At 40.9% G+C, this 20,789-nt stretch overlaps 1 protein-coding gene across 17 annotated transcripts in view, besides 1 other annotated feature; it reads right to left on the bottom strand.

Moving 5' to 3' along the window:
- The window catches only part of AUTS2 (activator of transcription and developmental regulator AUTS2), a 1,195,032-nt gene that overhangs the window by 1,129,447 nt on the left and 44,796 nt on the right, over positions 1–20,789 (bottom strand). The gene's annotated exons all lie outside the window — the stretch shown is intronic.
- Positions 12,685–12,814: an enhancer, noted in NCBI's record as "active region_26095". NCBI's record gives its function as "activates an Ori minimal core promoter by ATAC-STARR-seq in GM12878 lymphoblastoid cells {active_cell/tissue: GM12878}" and the evidence as "EXISTENCE:reporter gene assay evidence [ECO:0000049][PMID:35858748]".

The following is a 20,789-nucleotide window of genomic DNA, read 5'->3' as shown; positions in this document are numbered from 1 at the left end:
GAGATTATACTGCCCTTTCACTGACATTTCCAAAGATTCTTTTCTTTCTGAGGGTACTATGAAGACACAGAGGATAAAATATGAGTTTAAATGTCTAAAACAAATCCTCAAGTATTTAAATTTGTTCTGCATTACAATTTGTTTGATTCATTTTGGGATCTATTTGTTTGCCAAAATAAGCACAGATCATGCCCTTGGTTGAATATTTAATACATGCAAAATTACCTTTTTACCACAGGCTAAGACACCTGTTATTTCCAAGAAGGCTTAAGAATAGCATTGTGTCTGATCACTATACCTTCAGATTGGGTTTCCAGGCAAGAGCCCACAGAAAGCATACTAAGCTGTTAGATTCTACTAGAGTATACCTCCCCATCCATCTAAACCTTGCCATGAACCTGAATACTCAAGGCTTTATAGTTTATCAAGCTTCAGAAATACAAAAGGTATACACAACCCAATCCTTCCAGTAAAAGCACAAGTGTTGGGACTTCATCTCAGCTCCCAATTCAAATTTAAGTAACTATACCAAATCCTGTTAGAGTTGAAGAAATGAATTCAATGTAATTCAGCCCTCAAAAGGTGAAAATGATCTCCAGCATAATTATATTAGCTGGTACCTTCACATCTGGGGTGTATCTTATTATTTCTGGTTGGGCACATCACATATGAAGCATATAAACCCATAAAAGGTATTAGATTTCCCTCTTAACTACCTCTCAGGCCAAAAAAAAAAATTCTCTGCTTTCATTTATGTTTAAAGCATAAATAAAGCAGTTGGGATAGAAAGCTTACCAATTTAACACCAATATATCAGCCAAGGCACTCTGGAAAGTCAAAGTTTCCCTCATTAATGTAACAGAGCATAAAGCTATTTGACAATAAGAGTACCAGCTTAGGCATAGGAATATTAATATAAAGACCAACTTTTAAAAGCCTAATTCCAAACAACAGACAGTTGAAGCTTAGGCAGTTAAGTCACCTGAATCTCAATCAGTTAGAAAAGTAAACACTGTAATATAAGTCTGTTCTGATAAATATTCTAAATATGAGCATTTAATAACATCCACTTGTAAAAAGCAACTATTTTCTTCTGGTCTGATCTATTTGTGGAAATCACACGGGATAGAACTAACAGAAGAGGGCTGGCTAAATGATCACAAATACATTTTCAACTCTTATATTGTGTAATTCCATAAGATGTCTGTTATAACTAAAATCATAAAATGTAAGGGTTGGGAGCGACCTCAGAGATTACTATATTTTACTACAATCCTCCTCATTTTGAAAATAAGGGGAAAAATCTACATTTCTAGTGTTAGGAAATTGAAGCCAAGAGCTAATATGATATTTATGAATTACACAGGAATTTCAACAAGCTAAATGTGCCCTCACCACTGATACTTGAGTGGTGCTTTCAATATACCAAAGCATTTAAATGAAGGCTCCAGCCCTATAAGGTTAATGGCTAACCTCTGCTTCCAGGGAATCCATTTTCCTCTTTCTAAGGCAGAAATTCTCAACCAGAGTGATCCTGTCCCTCACTTGGCAACCTATGGAGACATTTTTGGTTGTCACACTTGAGGGGTGCTACTGGTATCTGGTGTGTAGAGTCCAGGGATGCTGCTAAACATCCTACAATACACAAGATACTCCTGCAACATGCAGTAATCCAGCCCCAAATGTCAAGAGTGCTGAGCACCACCAGCAATACTCAAAACACACCTGGAACCAGAAAATAATGCCTCCAAACACTCCTCACCCTTATAATAAGTTGGTCGGCTCTTCCAGGAAGCAATTACTATCAAATGGCCCTGACTTTTCCCATCTCCTACACAGTACTAAAAAGTCAAATCAACTGTTAATTAAAAAAAAAAAAAAAGCTCTGAATACCTATGATTCTTATTAGGAAAGAGTTTCTTTACATGGAGAGTGGGAGAAAGGGAGGGGGAAGGAGAAGGGAATAAGAAGTATACATGGGCGGTGGGAGAGGAGGTAATACTGGCTTTAGAACAAGATAAAAGGAGCAAATAAAGAAGAAAAATTACCCTCTCCTACAAACCTGTGAAAGCATTTCAAATCATTGCAATTACATACGCCCAGGAGAATCCCCCTTCACATTCATGAGGTATTTTCTCCTAACCCTCATGCTATTTCAAGTTAAAATAACACTGTCACAGAGTGGTTGAGCAGCACCATTTCAGGTGATAAATAAATAGCAAAGACAGACACAGCCCAGAAGGTCTTCCACATGGAACACACAAATACACATGCAACACTGCAGCATGGTTTTTATCATTCCCAAGGATACTCTTGTTCATAATTCTGGAACATACAATCCTAACCTGTCTTACACTGTGGAACACTACCTCAGTGAAACCATGAGACCAAAACAACAAAAGTGTCCGTTTTTTTAAAAAGCACTTCTCTTTCCCTTGGTCATGGGCCTCAGACCTTAGAGATCAGAAAAAGAAAAGGATCACACCAATTACTGTCCCAGTTAAGCTTATACACAATGTATTTATAGAGGCAGGTCATACGACATAAGAAACAACCACCAACACCAGATGGTTTCAGTGCTAAATAGTGCCTGCATTTATAGGACCGAGAGAAGGCAATGATCACTGGAAACTACAGTAATTTTGCCCCACCTCCCCCAACCACCTTGGTCTATGAAATGGCAAACACTGTGGACAGGACAAACTTTCTACTTTCAAATTTTACCCTTTAAGATTTTTCCCTTCTAACATTTATTGTCAACTTGATCCAATTAACTTTTCTTTAGAATTTTTACAACATTTTGGTAAAGCAGGTTCATCACCTTCAAGAAAATGTCTTCTCTGAATCTTTGTCCCTCACAAATCAATCTATCCAGGTTCCAGTCTTTACTCCTCTCTAGTCCTCTCAAATTTTTTAGAGATCAGGAAGATTCCCTGAATGTACAGAACTCTCTCCAGATCTAGTAGTGTTACCTCTGAAGAGGGGCAAAAGACTTGCCGCCAATGTCATAATTCCTGAGTTGCTTCTTGTTTAGCTGCTTTGATTGTCAGCGTTCCCACTTCCCAATGACATGGTGAAGCCAACAGTAGCTTTCAACATACCCTGTGCAACTAAGGTTAAAAAGTGAAAACGCACTATTCCTCTGTCGCCCAGGCTGAAGTGCAGTGGCGCGATCTCAGCTCACCGCAAGCTCCGCCTCCCGGGTTCATGCCATTCCCTGCCTAAGCCTCCCAAGTAGCTGGGACTATAGGTGCCCGCCACCACACCCAGCTAACTTCTTTTTGTATTTTTAGTAGAGACGGGTTTTCACTGTGTTAGCCAGGAAGGTCTTGATCTCCTGACCTCGTGATCTGCCCACCTCAGCCTCCCAAAGTGCTGGGATTACAGGCCACCATGCCTGGCCAAAATGCACTATTCCTTCTTTTGTTTTGCTTCATCATTAGTTTTACAACAGCCATGTCCAAATCAGCATCTTTTCCAGATCAACTTCTCACTAACACAGAACCACCTCCACTCAAAATAAGTAAGTTTTAAATTTGCCAACAGTTAGGATCTGCATCCAGAGAAATCAATAGTAACTACCTTCTGCCTCTTCCTAGAATTTCCCTTGTTTTGTTTTTCCTCTCCTGGAGGCTGTCACCATGAAGTCTAAAAAGGTTCAGAAGTGAACATATTAAAAATAAATAAATAAAAGTCTATACTGTCAAACATCAAAAATTGAAAAGAAAAGCGCCTGCAAAACTCAGTAGTATAAATGATGAAAGCTGCTATAAAAAGCCCCAGAAGCACCAACCACATAGGTACAAAAGGAAAACAGCAGGAAGGGAGAAAGCAGGTGGCCCAGGATGGAAAATCAGTATGAAAACACAGGCATCTTTCAATGCTGCCAAGAAGTCTTCCAACAAACCCAAAGAATGTGGAGCCTCTAAGCCTGGAATGCTGTTTCTCAGCTCTTCCTTTTTGATTCCCCTGGAGTGCCAGGGCAGAAGGATGGGGCACATACTACCAACGGCAAACCAAATGTAATTTTTCAGTAGGGTGGAGGTTCTAGTTTTTATCCTCTGAAGTCCCTCTAAAGTCTGTTATTAAGTAGCAAAATCAACTAGATATTGATCAAAAGGGTTAACAACTAAGGGCAGGGAAGCTAAGGGAACATGGGAAGCTAACAAATCAGATGTACAAAATAACAGGTTAGAAAGAGAAAGCAGGTAGCTGAGTCATAAAATGAGGAAGAGATTTATTCACACAAAATGGTGAAGTATGGCTTTAGGCTGGATTTATGCACCAAACGATGAAATCTCTGGGATGCAACCACTGAGGAAGTGGGATAGTAGAAACAACAGAAGGCCCCTGGAGTCAGCTAGATTTGGGTTTGAAACTTGGCTCTGGCTGCTAACTGTAAAACTTCGGGAAAGCCAATTAAACTAAGCCTCAGCCACAGCAAGATGCCATCTCAAAAAAAAAAAAAAAAAAAAACAACTAAGCCTCAGCTTTCCCATCCATAAAATAGGAATATTATCCCTATCATGCAGAGCTGTTGTAAGTATCCATCCCCTGATGGATATCCAATTAGTAGGTATAGCGGCGTTTTGAAAAAAAAAAAAAAAATTGCTTCCCAAAGCCCTGAATGTCATCCCTTTAAATTATTTAATAAGAGAAAAACAGAAAAAAAAATTACACTCTCCTAAAAGATTCCACAGCAAACAATGAATATACGGACAAAATTTAACAAGGGTCTGACCTGAGATTCCTAGGAAAGCTTAGACCCTTGTTTCTCTGCTCTATGCATCTCCTAACCTTCTTTCCTTCTTCACAAATTCCTCTACTCCCTCAAACCCCAGCAGACCAAACAATAGTTCCAGTTAGTCATGTTCTACAAATTACTGATTTCTCACTTTCTTCCTGAATACTCCAATGCCCTCCAACTCCCCTGTTTACATTTGTGGCACTGGTCATTTTAAAGACACTGTCTCAAAACAAAAGCCAGATTTCAAGGTCACCAAACATCTGCCAGTTGCTGGTTTATTTTGTTTTACCTAAGTATCTTAAAAATAAACTTTACCTATATCTCATCTGTCCTCCTTGAAGCATATTCCTTAACAGTCAATGGAAGTGGATATGTGAATAGCAAAAGCATAATAATTTAATTCACTAAACAATTTCATAGTGGTTCTCAAAGGCCACATTGTTTACATTTGGTAATTGCTATCATTCTCTGCAGTATTTACTTTTTAAACCACATATTTATTATTTTTTTAAATGAATTTCCCTGGTAATGAACCAAAGAGCCTACAAAGATACTGATGTCTATAAGAAATAATGCATTATATAGTATCAGACAGTAGTTTGCTCATGAATATCTCCAGATTTGACTTCTCTTTCATCACAAAGAATGGCTTTAGCAAACAAAGAAAGAGATGAAGACATGAAGAGTCATGCCATTTCTTTACTGTGTGTCTTAGTCAGTTTAACCTCTCTGTGCCTCTTGGTGTCTCTGCATCCCATATAGTAGGTTCAGAACCTAGAAAAGTAATAAGGATTAACTCTTTATAAAGTTTCTCAGAAGAGAAATAGTATATAATTGTCTAGCTCTAATAAACGAACCACTACCTCTAAAACTTAAACCTAAGGTTACAAATGAATAACAAGAGAAATAGATTGGTCAGTCATTCATCTAACTTTCACTGAACACTTTTAGGATCAGAATAACTCTATTTGTAAACTCAGATTTATATTTGAAATAATTCAAACAATAAGCATTTACACTATATGCCTGCTATATAATAGGAAAGGGATCAACAAACTACTTCTGTGAAGTGCCAGATAGCAAATATTTTAGGCTATTCAGGCCATATGGTTTCTGCTGCAACTACTCAATTCTGCTGTTGTAGTGCAAAATGATGCCAAAGGCAATAACGTAAATGAATGAGCATGGCTGTATTCCAATAAAACTTTATTTATGAACACTGAAATTCAAATTCCACATAATTTTCACGTGGCATGAAATATATATCCTTTGATTTGTTTTCAATCATTTAAAAAGGCAAAAACTGTTCTTAGCTCATGACCGCATAAAAACAGGTAGTGGCCTGGTTTGGCCTGTGGACCAAACTTTGCCAATCCCTGTACCTGGCCCAGGTGCCAAGCATTTGAGCAACATCAAGAATAATTATACAATTTCCCTGCTTTTTAAGACAAAAGGGAAGGTAAACCAACAATTACAGAACAATGTGATAAATGCTAAGAAGAGAAGTATGCCCACTGTTACAGGAGCCAGAGATGGAGCAATTAAGGAAATTTCTCCTTAATTTCTAATGAGGTCTTGATATAAACAAACTAATGCAATTCTAGTTTGACTTTTCTATAATAAATTGTTAGAAGTTACCTTTATAAACAAAGTTTGACTTTAAAAAAAAAATCCTTCACCACCCACATCTGCTCAGGCTTTATCAGAACGCACCTGGGTGTGTTCTGAAACATCCTTTTTAATTATCATTCCAGGCCAGGACCTCCGGCAAAATCCATTCTCCACTGATCTGCCAGGAAGCAAGCACAACCCAGGTGGTAGCTGACTGCGACTCTTAAGGGCAAGTCCACAGGTCTCACCTGTTTATTTCGCCCTAGTGCTTTAGCTGCCATAGGTAATAATTTTCAAGTACTCTGGGATAGGAAAAAAATCAAACAGGTTTTTTCCCCTAAGTGAAAGGTCAATGGAATATCAGCTTGGCCAGAGTCTCAAATATTTGCCTGCACCTCGCTGGTTCTGCCTAATCAAATCAGGTTTATTAGAGGGTCACCTCTAATCAGCACTAGGTTTTATCTGCATTTGGAGATGCTTAGGCAGATTTATCTTAACTACCTCAGAACAAACTAAGCTTGGGTCTTGAGACTTAATTGTCACAACTGTCTGCCCGGATGTTTTGTTCTGAGGGGAAAGCTGAAGGAGCCGGGAGCCAAGCTGACATCATCAGCTGTGTATTTAATTAAAGCAAGATGAACGGCAGGCAGCCTGGGAAGGACAGTGGGTCAGTCTTCCTGTCCCGATCCAGAAAGGCTGCACGACTCATGGAAATCTAACAGACTTAGATCCTCCCATTCATCTGGCAAAAGGACTATCTTTCCTGAAGTCCAGGAAGGTGAACACCAGTGTGAGCCTTTGACTTCTCCATGAGCCCTGAATGTCACATGAAAGGAGAATCAGCAACTATCACCTCCTAAAAGCCAACAGGACACAGACCCTTTAAAATAAAATAAAATCCAAAATAACTACATATGCCCACAGAAGCCACATGTTGGGCTTGTGATCCAACATCAAATTCACATATTCAAGCAAGTTCTGCCACTTGAAAATACAGAGAGAATAAACTGAACCCAAGATCTGGGTGGTTCTTTTCTTGGTCATTTTCCTCTCCCAGAAGCCAGTCTCTTCAATGTCAGGGAGGAGCAAGGCTACATCTCATTCAGCTTTTTATTCCCATGCTATGTTGGGTGATTAAATCAAAAAACAGGATACATTATCTGGCCAACATGCCCTATGTTCTTTTTTGTAAAATAAAAGGAATGATAGATAAAACCCAATAGTCTGAAAGAGAAAAAAAAAGTAAGCAAATTAAACAATTTTGAAATGTGAGCAAAATTAGCAAATCTTCTATTTGTATCAAGTTTTTCCCCAACAGAGAGACTGTTAACCTAGCACTCCAAGGAGCATCAGGAACCTGAGCCTCTGTGGTAATACCACTCGAGAATTCACTTCACTCTGGTGGCAAGCTTATATTTCCCAAGAGGCCTTTCCAGGAGATCTAGGGGTCAGCTGCGTCAAGATTCCTAATGGCTGTGAAATGAAGCTATGTCACTGTTGTGGTCACCACACACTGGGGAAGGGGCAGAGGGGCCATTTGCCAACAGGCCCCAAGAAAATTATTAAATAATCCCATCTGCCAAGATAGCTGGAGGCAGGGAAATGAGATCCAGAAGAGAAAGGGGACATACAGTGAAAAGAAGAAATTTGTCCTGCCACCACCTCATCACTATCTTAATTTTCAATTCTTGACAACGATGAGCATATGACATCAGCAGCATTGCTAAGGCTTTGCCTGGGATATAAGGTTTCTGTCCCCATGCCTCTTCTCCTCTGCCCCATACAACTTGTGGGCCTAGCAGGGCTGACTGCAATAGTACAACAGCCCAGAGGGTGACTGAAACATTGAAATTGTTCCCGAAAGGCTAGTAACAAGCTACTGCCCAGGACCCTTCTCCTAAACAGGTCCCCAGGAAGGCACGGCCCTCCCCTGAGACACTCCCCCAACTTCCTGACCCAGTAGGGAGCCTTCATATATTCTCAATATCACATCTCAAGCCAACTATCCCACCACTAGACAGAGAAGCTCATCTCTGGGTGGGGCCAAGAGGGGACTCCACTTCCCTTCCCCCAAATTACCCTTCCCACACCCTCAGTGTTTCTCAAACTTTAAAGTCCATCAGAATCACCTGGAGGACTTGTAAAAACAAATTACTGTGCCCCGCACTGCCAGAATTTCTGGTTCAGTAGGTCTGGGGTGGGCCCCACCAATCTGCAATTCTAACCGTTCCCAGATGACGCTGACACTTCTGGACTGGGGACCATAATTTGAGAACCACTGCAGTAAATTAAAAACAACAACAACAACAACAACAAAAAACTAGAAAGTCAGGTAATTGTTTTCAGTTTTTAAAAAATATGACAGGCCCCAAATTAATACAGAGCCTAGAGCTTTTTATATCCACAAAACAGCTGCCAAAATCCTGAAGTGTTTGCTTTGCTGTATAAGCGGCCGGTTGTGATTTTGCACTCAGCCACAATGCAAGATTGTAGATTTTTTTTTCATTAACTGGAGGATTTGCTTCATGTCTGTATTATTGTTTTACAGTTTCTAATTACTAGGCTGTGAAGTGCCAAATGGTCAACAAGCTTCCCTATTGTTATTCAGGTGCATCAACTGATGCTGGTGCTGAAGAGTGCCTTGTTTTATGGGGCTGCTGGGCGACACACTTGCTGCCTGTGGATACTCATGTATTGCTAAGACAGGAGCACAAATTAACCACAGAAACACAACCTCTACCAATTAACTAATCTTTACAAAGCAAGAGCACTTATAGCCTTATTTCCTTGTCAGGAGCCCTATTATTTGACCACACAGTCAAGAGGGACTACAGCTAAAGAAGCCCACCTCTAAACATTTTTCTTTCTGGTTCTTTAAAACACACAGTTGCCATCATCAAAGACCACCCAGAACACCCCACTTAGTTCATTGAAAATATAAAGACAGTAAGTGCTTAGGTTGATGTAAAAGGGTAGATATCTCAAACAGGAAAACCGTCACAAGTCCAGCTATCCTGGCAGTGACCTCGAAAACCTTTCCCTGAGTAGTTGGACAAGAGCCCTGGAACTGGGCTGCCTAGTTTGAATCTTGATTGCATCACTCATTTCAGCTGTGTACATAATGGCATGTTATTGAACCTCCCTGAGCATCAACTTCCTCATCTGCAAATTGAAGACAGACAATGACAGTACATAAACTTTACTGGGCTGGCCTGAATATTTTAAGAGATAATCTGTGTGAAGTGTTTGTCACAGTGCTGGGCACATGTTAAGTACTCAATAAGGTTTAGGCATTATTACTGCTCCCTGTGAAGGTCTGGGGCAGGATATGAAAGGGCCTGTGCTCTCCTTCCCCTTGGAGATGTCAGCAAAGCATGGCGAGGAGAGCAGCTTCTCCTCTGTCCCAAAGGGAAGCAGAAGATTAGGAGCTAGATCAAGCAAGACTGGGGGCTGCAGGTGTAGGAAGTGAATCAAGATGACTTCAAAAGAGAGAATAAAAAGTGGGCTTATGAAGAATTGGTGGACTCTTCCTGGCAAATTGGGCAAGAAAAGCAGAGATGGTGACAGGAAGAAAAAGCAAGCATAGCTGTCCACTGGCTGGTTAAGAGCAGCTCTCAAAGGTCGCCAGACCAACATCCCGTCTTATGATTCCAAAGCATCTGAGAACTATTAGCACAGAATACAGAAGTTTTATAAATTTCCCCTAACTGATCCAATTTTTCCCCTCATTCAAATTCCCTCCCCAACCTCTGCCCATCTGGATCTGCCTCAGCAGAAATGGATACTAAGTAGAGACAGAGAGAAGTAAGGAGGTCTCTTCATAGAGTGGAAACAACAGGCCCAGAAGAACAAAGCTGGGCTGATGCAGAGGAGGTGGCAGGCAGGGTGAGCCTCAGGTCAGAGAGGACATAGAAGTAAAGGACACAAGTACAAAATGAGCACACATTCTTCCAGCAGCTGCTTCCTAACAAAGGTAACCCTGAAAAGTAGGTAATCGTGAATCAATAAAAGCAAAAAACGGGTTATTTCTCCTCAAGGAGCATGAAAAAAAAAAAAAACCAAACCCACCACCATTATGTGGGCACATGCATGCACATACAGAGAATTAAAGTAATTCTTAGTACACTTAGAGAAAATTACATTTCTTGCTTCAGGTGTGTGTACTCTGCTACGCTCTGAAACTCATGAGTGAGAAGTGTTCTCTCAATGACCCTAGCTCTTGAAAATACAAGTGCTATACAGGAAGAGAACACTGTACACTTGATACAGGAGTGCTGGAGAGAGATACTATCTTCATCCAATGGGCTAGTTGCACTTTTCTTCCTAAAAGCAAATCAAAACCATTAATCAATCATAAAACTGTTCTTCAGGCTCCATAATCTGGCCCACACCTGAAATTTCTCTTTAGTCTTTGGGGACAGGACACAGATGCAGAGCTGCCCCATTAGAAAAGTTAAATAAGGAACCTAACTCACTTCTTGGCCTGAGAAGAGTAACAGGCAGAGCCCAGGTGGGACAATAAATGAAGAGCCAGCAAGCCCACATGAAGAAGGAAGTCCCCACTCCACAACAGCACTGGAAGTCCCAAGGTCAGAGTGTCACTTCAGTCCCTTCAATGCAGGAACCTTCTCCCAGCCACAAAACAGCCAGATACACTGCAATATGAGTTAGTTTGTGAACCAAACCAATTAACTCACAGGATCTTAATAGTGGGCACTCAGCCTCCTAGCTAAAGCACTACGAACCTCATTTTTAAAGATACTTGGAAAGAAAATCCCAGTATCTCTGAAGGCCAATCCAGTGTGTAGTAGTCACTTGTGGGTCTTGAAGTTGTTTATATCTAACAAAACTACCTTTGGCAAAGATCTAAAAAAGGAAATTTACTATTACTTTTTTCACAGTTCCTCCAGCCCCCACTATCGATGTAGTAAGCATACTTTCAGACCTACATGGTCTAAATTTCTTACACTTTTCCCCCTTTTTTTCAAAAGACATTACAAAATTTGACATAATTCATGTGTTTGTAAAACTTTGCAGGTCCATAAATTCACAAATTGAGGAAAAGCCTGTGACAACAAGAATATTTTGCTTCAGAAAAATGGTCACTGCACCTGTAGAAACAGGCAAGAGCCAACTAGCACCTATAATAAAACTATAAACACTCAAAAAATGACAGCTAAGAATGCTTCCAGCTCCTAAGTTCCAAAGTGCTTTATTCTCAATATCTAGTAGTGCCTCAGTGTCATAACCATACTACTGTCTCCGTACATTATTATTACACATCTCACCTGACTCTCTTTCCCCAAATCAGGGCAAAGAAAAAAAATCCCTGTCACAGGTACTAACAGCCACCAAGCAAAGGGGAAGCCAGGAGACAGCCTATTTTGCTACATGGAATGGCCTCTCTATCAGGCACAGGTGTCTACTTTCAAGTTATTTAGATTAACTTGCCCCAAACCAATAAAACCAACTTATTCCCGGAAAGTTAAAATGCCTGCTCACCTTAACAAGCAGAGCCCACCATAGAGAGTATAAGAGCAATACTGCTTTATGCAGACCTGAAATCTTCAATAAGATTAACTTACCTAATAGGATTTAAGGACGCTATGAAGGCCATTATGGTGTCTCCTACAAGCTGGAGGCTCCAAAGGCCTTAACCATTCGATTTAATCTAATCTGGCCTAATCTAATCAAGGCTGTCTCCCTGCATTCTGTCAGTGGGGACTTTGAACAATAATCTAAAAACTAAAGAAAAAACTTACACTCAAATCACACCCTGTAGACCAAATATATACTAACCTTTATCCAGAAATTAGTGCAGACCTGGCAACAAATATGTGTGGGGGTCTTTTTCTGCCTTGATTTGCTAATCTTTATGATCTACATAAGCTAAGAAATGATTTTACCATCCATTTGACACTTAAATTCTAATTGAATGACACAAGGAAGATTTCACATGTTGATTAGTGATCTTACTCAAAATCCACAGAATAGAAACCATGGATTCTAGTCCCAATTCAGTCACTATCTGAATCAACCTTGAATATTCTGTGTAACTTCTCTGAACCTCTAGTTGCTAGTCTATCATGAGATGAAGAGGTTTCACCCAAATTCATAACTACCTCTGGTTACCTGAAGGCAGAAACACAGTCAGTCCTTTTAAGTATAGTAGGCGGGTCTATTTCTCACCCCACAGAGCCATAACCTCATTTAACAAGTGCGTCCAGCTTTGGGGAATTCCCCAGAACACGCTAGTTCAAACAATCCAGAAATGACTAGTTCCAAATATTAGCCACGGAGTAAAATGGCCACCTTCCTGGTGCAAGAAACATTTCCTCAGGTTCTGCTAACACATCTGAACCTGTGGCTCAGAAAAATCTGCTGTTCCCAGAAACTCAGAGTTCAATGAGAGATCCAGAAAAAAAAACACTGGTTATCAGAGGGTAGCAGCTATCAAAGGTGTCAACAGCAGAGTATGCACTACTTGCCAGAGATGTCATAAGTTTGTTTCACACCCCGTTCCTCACACTGTCTCAGACCAGTCACGCCCAGGCAGTCCTCACGACACTACTAGGGCAACACAGCCTCCAACTCCTCACTCTGAACCAAATCTGCATTCCCAATGGCCTATAACCTAATTAGGTTTTAAGAAAAGATTCAGGTTAAAAAAGTATCCCTTTCAGCACACTTAACAGAAGACCAAGGCAGAGCCTCAGCTAAGGGCAGGGAATATAAAGATGAGGAAGAGCAGATCCGGGCCCTCAAAGCACACAGCATAGCACGGGCGACTTGCACAGGATTCTAACGCAGTATGTGCAAAAACTGAGGTAAGCCCAGGTGACAGAAAAGAGATGAAACACAGCATGCCACATAGTGAGACCCAAGGGACAAAGGCAAAAAACAGTATCATGCACAGGGAGCAATAAGCAGTTCATTACTGCAGGAGCATTTTAAAAAGGCAAACAGGAATGGTGAACAAGAACATCTTCATGGGCTTGCAACCCGTGCAATCCCAGAGGGACCTACATCCAGAAAGGGCCCCATACTTGGTTTAATGCTCTACCATCACTGTCTCGAAATTCCTAATATTTCTTTTTAAATAAGGGGCCTCACAAATTACATAGCTGGTCCTGGTAGTGAGAGATGGCAGGAAATCAGGCAGGGACCCACGGGGCTAAAATGATGAAAGTTCTCCTCTGAATAACCCACTGGTAATCCACGCCTTCAATAGAGTACTTTACAGTGGCCAGGAATCCTACTGCTAAGATTCTAATTCAGAAGGCCTGGGATAGGAAGGCTACAGAAAGTGCCTTTTTAACAGGCTCCTGGCAATTCTGATGTCAGCAGTTTGAGAAAGTATATCTAAAATGTAACGATGCTTTAACTCTTTATTATTTCTTATTGATAGAAAGAGTACAAAGAAGGCCCTCCCTCAGCAAGCATCTTTCCCAAGCTCTTAACCTACTTAGGACATACTCCAGTCTGTGGGTAGTACCAGGCTTCCAAAATGGCCATCAGAGCACAATTTTAGAAAAACAGCATGGGAATAGCCCAATTTAATAAGTTAATCATCCCAATAAATGATTTTGCCATCTCTTGTCACCTAATTTATATTCAGTTTTTAACTCCTACCCATTCCCATAGCTCTCAATCTCCAACCATCCACAGTGTAACAAAACAACTGGCCCAGTTTGGATGGCTAAAATTGTGCTGCTGCATAAGACTGTGTGGGGAAGGAAAAGGGCAGAGAAAGGAATAGGAAAAAAATGACTTCATGGTATATTTCTTAGAAGGCACTGTTCTCTTTTCTTCCTCCTTCCTTGCTAATTTCTTCCCAGTGATCCTTCCAGATTTTGCTGAGAGTCACTCTTCAGAAGCAATTTGCCAGAATCCGAGACTGGGTTAGATTCGCCTCCTTATATGCTCTGAAAGAGTCTGTGGTTATTCTCTATAACCCTCATCTAATTATAGCTATTTGCTGGATTTAGCTTTTTTTTTTAATGTTTGTATCCTCCACTAGACAGCCCTATGGCATCAAAACATAATTCACATGTATCCACTAGTTAGCAACTAGTGAGTGTTCTGTAGATACATAGGAATGAGGGAGAAAGGTTGTAAGTCTTTGAGTTGGCCACGGAAAGGAGGATGAGGTGACTCTGCTCACAGCGCCAAAGGCCAAAAAAAAAAGCATACAGTGAGACTCTGACAAAGCAGCAAACAAAGGAGGCACAACTGGACCACGGGTTGTTGGCAACTGTTTCGTATGTCCACTCTTTAAGAGTTAAGGAACAGTATCATCCACTGGAACACAAAGCTGTATGTAACAGGCAAAAGGAGGTAGTTTGGAACCCAGCTCATTGGACTACAGAAACACAGTGTACCAAAAGCCAATGCAGTTTGCTGGATGCCTCTTGCTCCCCAAGTACCTAGACTGTAAGACAAACTCCGTTTTTGTTTTGTTTTGGCTGTTGTTAGGGTTTCCAGCTTACTCAGGAAAACCAGAGAGGTCCAAGGTATCTACAGGTCCGAGACAAAGTGTAGTGAAAAACTGGCTGATTTTCTAACAGCACCATGTACACACGTACAAGAAGAGACATTAATCCACAGCTCCGCTCAGCAAATGCCATGGAAAATGACTGGTCTCCAGTCTTGTTCATTTATTCCTCCATGGGTTCCAGCCTAAATGTTGCTCCTACCTACTTACTTAACCATCTTGGAGTGATTAAACCCTCTCCCCAGCCATCCAACTTAAATAGCACTAAGTTCTTAATTAAAACACACTATAAAAAATGATGAACAACCAAATTCAGGTGCTGCATAATTTATTTACATTTATGTAACAGTTTCCCCCAAGGAACTCAAGGCATTTTGCAAACTTAAACCTATCTGGCAGATATTAATCTTCACAAAATCCCACAAGAAAGGCAAGAATGTAAGACGTATAATCAATAACAGGTCCCTTCACACATACACATCCTCCCCCTACATGACTGTGCATCACTCTAAGTCTCTCTGGGTCAGAGATCTAAATTAATTTGGAAAATTATACCAAGTACAGGTGAGATTTCTCAAGAAACCTCACAAAAAGAAGAGGAGCCAAAGACTGTTCTACTACACTATGAAAAAAGTTACTACATCTTTTCTTGCACGTTTTCTATTCGCTAATAGAAAAAAAAAATCCCATCCCACTCCAAAGTAAAATTTTAAAGACCAACTTTAAAATGCACGTGGAGTTTTTTTTTTTTTTAAAGTTACTGAATTCTAATACACATTGTTGCTCCAAACCTCCCTGACCTAACCCCTCAGAGGAGAACCTATGTTTTAAACAAACACCCCAGGCTTTCCAGAGCCTTTAAAGGTACTGGTAATGTTTTACTTCTTAAGCAGGGTGATGAGTACATGAGTTTTGGGTTTATTTTTCTTCTGTATATCACTCATACTTATATACCATTATACATATATGTCTTGTAAGTTTGTTAGTGCTCTTGATGAATTATGTACAGATAGGTCAGGAATCATGCTTTGGGAACCCATGCAGGCTGCATCAGAATCTCCTAGGCACTTTTCAAAGTAGAACTCTGTTATGGGTTTAATTGTGTCCCCTCAGAAATATACGTTAAAGCCCTAACCCTCAGTATGTCACAATGTGACCTTATTTAGAAATAAGGTTCTTTCAGACACCAATGTTAAAACGAGGGCATACTGGATTAGGGTGGATTAGGGCAGATGTCCTTACCAGAAGATGGCCATGTAAAGACACAAGGAGAACACTAAGAGACAACAAAGGCAAATATTGAAATTATGCAGCTGCAAGCCAAAGAATGCCAAAGACTGTCAATAAACTACCAGAAGCTAGGAAGAGGCAAAGAAAGATTCCCCTATAGGCTTAAGAGGAAACATGGTCCTGCCAACACCTTAATTTCACATTTCCTAGCCTCCAAAACTATGAGACTATTTCTGTTGTTTTAAGCCACTCAGTTTGTGATACTTTGTTATGGCAGCCTTGGAAACTAATACAAGCTTCTATTAAGAGTGGCACTGAGGAGACTGGGCGTGGTGGCTCACGCCTGTAATCCCAGCACTTAGGGGAAGCTGAGGCAGGAGGATTGTTTGAGCCCAGGAGTTCAAGACCAGCCTAGGCAATATAGTGAGACCTCATCTCTAGAAAAAAATTTAAAAATCAGCTAGGTGTGCTGGTGCATGCCTGTAGTCCCAGCTACTCAGGAAGGAGGCTGAGATGGGAGGATCACTCAACCCTGGGAAGTTGATGCTACAGTGAGCAATGCTCATGGCACTGCACTCCAGCCTAGGTGACAGAGCAAGACCATTAAAAAAAAAAAAAAAGATAGTGAAAGTGTCTGACCATTTGATCTAATTTTGAGAAGTCTGCCACAGGTTCTAGAATCCTAATAATGTTTGCATAGGAAAAGACCTCTGAATAACCTTCTTGTTTTGGAGATAAGAAAAAAATTGAGTCTGAAATTCCAATCATTAAAACGGTAAACTGTTATCTGGAGAGTCATAATGCTTTAGAAACGCTAACTCAAATACCTGAAAAAAAAATGAGGCACAAGGTCACTATGCTTTGTTTTTGTTTTTTGTTTTGTTTTGTTTGAGACAGAGTCTCGCTCTATCGCCCAGGCTGGAGTGCAGTGGCGCCATCTCGGCTCACTGCAAGCTCCGCCTCCCGGGTTCACGCCATTCTCCTGCCTCAGCTTCCCGAGCAGCTGGGACTACAGGCGCCCGCCACTACGCGCGGCTAATTTTTTGTATTTTTTTAGTAGAGACGGGGTTTCACCGTGTTAGCCAGGATGGTCTCGATCTCCTGATCTCGTGATCCGCCTGCCTCGCCCTCCCAAGATGCTGGGATTACAGGCGTGAGCCACCGCACCCGGTCAAGGTCACTATGTTTTTAAAGCAAACAGGGAAGAGAGTTCAGGGACTAACAGGAAGTATACACAAAGACAGCCTGGCCTCCTGGGTCTACAAAAGGAGAGAGGAGAGGCCTTAGGACCAATATTGCAGTCCAACTAAGTTTTAAGGAAATTGTCTCTAAAATTACCCACATTGGTCTGTTATTAGCCTCTGTTCCTATCTGAAAATTAAAAGGTTTAAGAGAATCCTGACCTGTGCCTGGTTTGGTATAACCATATTTGCAAAGAGCTAATATTTGGAGAAAGTAGTAAGGAAAAGCTATCTGATTCCACTATCCAACCATCCGTCCTTTTAAGTGTCTGACTATAATCCACACAGACATACTTAGCAAACTTTAAAATACAGCCTCTCAACATTGTTACAATTAAGTCACTCTGAAATGTCATGAAAAGCAATCTAGTCCCATTAAAATCTTCACACTCTCATTAAAAAAGCACTTACAGACTTGAAAATGTTCCTAATACATTATTTAAAGACACAAGATGTACAGTGACTAAAATCCTTGTATAAGGAGAAACAGTAGCAGCCTGCTTTTTTAAAAAAATGTGCAAATTTGTGTTATAATTGGGTAATTGGGAAACTGCAGGTAGCAGTCAGGTTGTATTATACTAGTTTAAAAAAGGTTTAGGGGGCCTTTCCCTACCCCCTCCTCCAAAATTTCAGACCACCCAGGGACAACCACAACAACAGTATAAACAACATACCTCTTAGTTCAACTAATGGTCCCTCCTTCTTCCTTCCAGCATTTCTAAGCCCAGGAAGGAGGTAGGGGAAGAAGGAGAAAAAAAAAAAAAAAAAATCCAGACCGTTTCAGCTGACACCCCCAGGCCACCAGTCATCACTGTAGAGTCCTGACCTCTAGTCCATTGGGTCTCCTCCTTTTCAATTAACGCTCGTTGGTATTTATCTGTTGCCATTCAGAGATGTAAATGTGTTTTTTATAGGCCCTAAATCCCCTAAGGTAACACAGCAGGAGCCCCAGACTGGAAGTCTCTTTTTCCGCTCCTCCCCTCCTCCAAACCCTCTCCCCCTGCCCCATAACCCCACAGAAACCACCTTAAACTCAGGAGCTAAGTTTTCAACACTGAGGGGATTGGGCACTGGGACTCCCAAAGCAGATACAGCATCACAAAACAGAGATGCCACATGTCCTGCTAGGTCAGGCTGACCTCCACCAGTTCAATGGATTTTACAGGTCCAAATTTGTTTAATGTTTGTTTTCAACAAAATTACTGAAAACATTGACTTTGTACAAAAGGTAAGATTTATGATTCCTGTTTCCTCTCTCTACCTGACTATACATCATTGCACAATGCCCTCAGCCTCCTAACCTGTAAAATGAAAGGGATGGACTTCCCAAACTCTTTTACAATCCTCCCTTTAAATCACTTCTGAGTCCTCCCCTTACTTACAGATATGCATTTGCTTCTAAGTACAATTAAGCACCAGGTCAAAAAATGACCCACTTTACTTGACAATTTTCATTGCAATTTTAAAAAGGAAATTTTATGTGGCTTTAAAATATTCAAAAGCCCTGTTGAAGAATTCAAGACTCTGCCAGGCACAGTGGCTCATGCCTGTAATCTCAGTATTTTTGGAGGCCAAGGCAGGAGGATCACTTGAGGTCAGAAGTTTGACACCAGCCAGGGCAACACTGCAAGACCTCATCTCTACCAAAAAAAAAAAAAAAATTAACTGGGTGTGGTGGTAGGTGCCAGTAGTCTCCGCTACTCAGGTAGCTGAGGCAGGAGGATCACTTGAGCCCAGGAGTTTGAGGCTGCAGTGAGCTATAATAGCACCACTGCACTCCAGTCTGGGCACAGAGCAAGACCCCGTCTCTTAAGAAAAATAAAACAGAATTCAAGACTTGCTGCCAAGCAGAAGAAAGATGGTGAGATTTTCTTGGTTCCTTTTCCCATTCCAAACCTCTCTTACTCAAGAGATTTTTAATATATACTACATATATACTACACCATTGCTGGCAAAATGAATGAAGCCAAATAAATAAACATAGCACATTAGTCATTCTTATACAGTTAAGTCATATTGTCTTGAGTGCCTATTAAGTGCTAGGAGGTTTACATAACCATTGTATTCTTTTTAGATATATGTTAATATTACAATTAGGGAAATTGCAGAAGTAAAGGAAGTTTACCAAAGTCAGAAATGTAGAAAACTAGGGGAAGGCTACTGAGCCCTCTACATCTTGACTTATTAATGAATGAATGATGAACAAACAAAAACTTTAAAAGTTTTTTTTTTTTTTTAAGACAAGATGCAGGAAGAAGAAATTGAGAATTCACTACATAACTTCCCACCATCAAGGCTTTACAACAGCAACATTTTGTTTTCCTTAAATGTTCCTGTTTGGTAGTCCAATGCTCAAAAACTGAAGACAGTATGTTTTGGATCACTTTTGTCCTGGAAGAAAAAAAAAAAGTCTAGGGGTCCTCTACAAATAGTTATGACCAAAGCTCAGCAAAGAATGGGAATGACTGCAATTAAATGCCACTGGCCCTGGCTCACTAACAGCCAGCCAGTCCCTGCTATCTGGCAACCTTTGTGCTTAGCTTCCTGCCTCTTGCTACACAGAGAACACAGGGCCTGTCTTAGCTCAGGCCACCATAACGAAATACCAAAGACTGGGTGACTTAAACAGGCGAACCTGATTTTCTCACAGTTCTGGAGGCTGGAAATCCAAGATCAGGGTGCCAGCATGATAGGGTTCTGGTGGGGGCTCTCTTCCTGGCTTGTAGATGGTCACTTTCTCTTTTTTAAATTGAATTGTGAACCTTATGTATGTCTGTACACACATATTTATTTACAGACAGGGTCTCACTCTGTTGCCCAGGTTGAGTGCAGTGGCACAATCAAGGCTCACTGCAGCCTCATCTCCAGGGCTTCAAGCAATCTTCTCACCTCAGCCTCTCTGGTAGCTGGGACTACCATCACATTGGAGGTTAGAGCTTCAACATACGAATTTGGGGGGTGGAGAATACAATTCACTCAATATCAGGGAGCTTCTTCAAATTTACTTACTGCTGCAATTGGAACAACAGTTATAATCCTTTGACAAACACTTAATGAGCACCTAACACTGGCAGTTCTGTGCTGGGGGCGGGGTGGGGGGTTGGCGGGCAGAAGAATGAACAGCCCTCAAACTCAAACCCTGCCCTCATCAGTATCTGGGGACTCCATAAAACAAGGGCATGGTACAAATACTCTGTGGAGCTGAGAAGTTTTAAATGAGCACAAAGACTTTCTGTCAATCAGTGTTTATTGAGGCTTTAGTATGAAGTGAGATACTTATTCACAGATCCAAAGGAAGATACAGAAAAAAAAAAAACCTGAAATATGGTGTGGCTGACAGATGCTTCAGACGGCCCCCATGACCCTTGCCTCCTGGTTGTCAATGCCCTTGTGTGATCATCTCACCTTGAGCGTGGGAGGGACCTGTGACTTGCTTTTAACCAGAGTAGAGCAAAGATGATGGACA

This window comes from Homo sapiens, chromosome 7 (genome assembly GCF_000001405.40).
Source record: "Homo sapiens chromosome 7, GRCh38.p14 Primary Assembly".
NCBI classification, from domain to species: domain Eukaryota; kingdom Metazoa; phylum Chordata; class Mammalia; order Primates; family Hominidae; genus Homo; species Homo sapiens.
The sequence above is the reverse complement of the archived record's forward strand: the minus strand, read 5'-3'. Positions and strand labels throughout refer to the sequence as shown.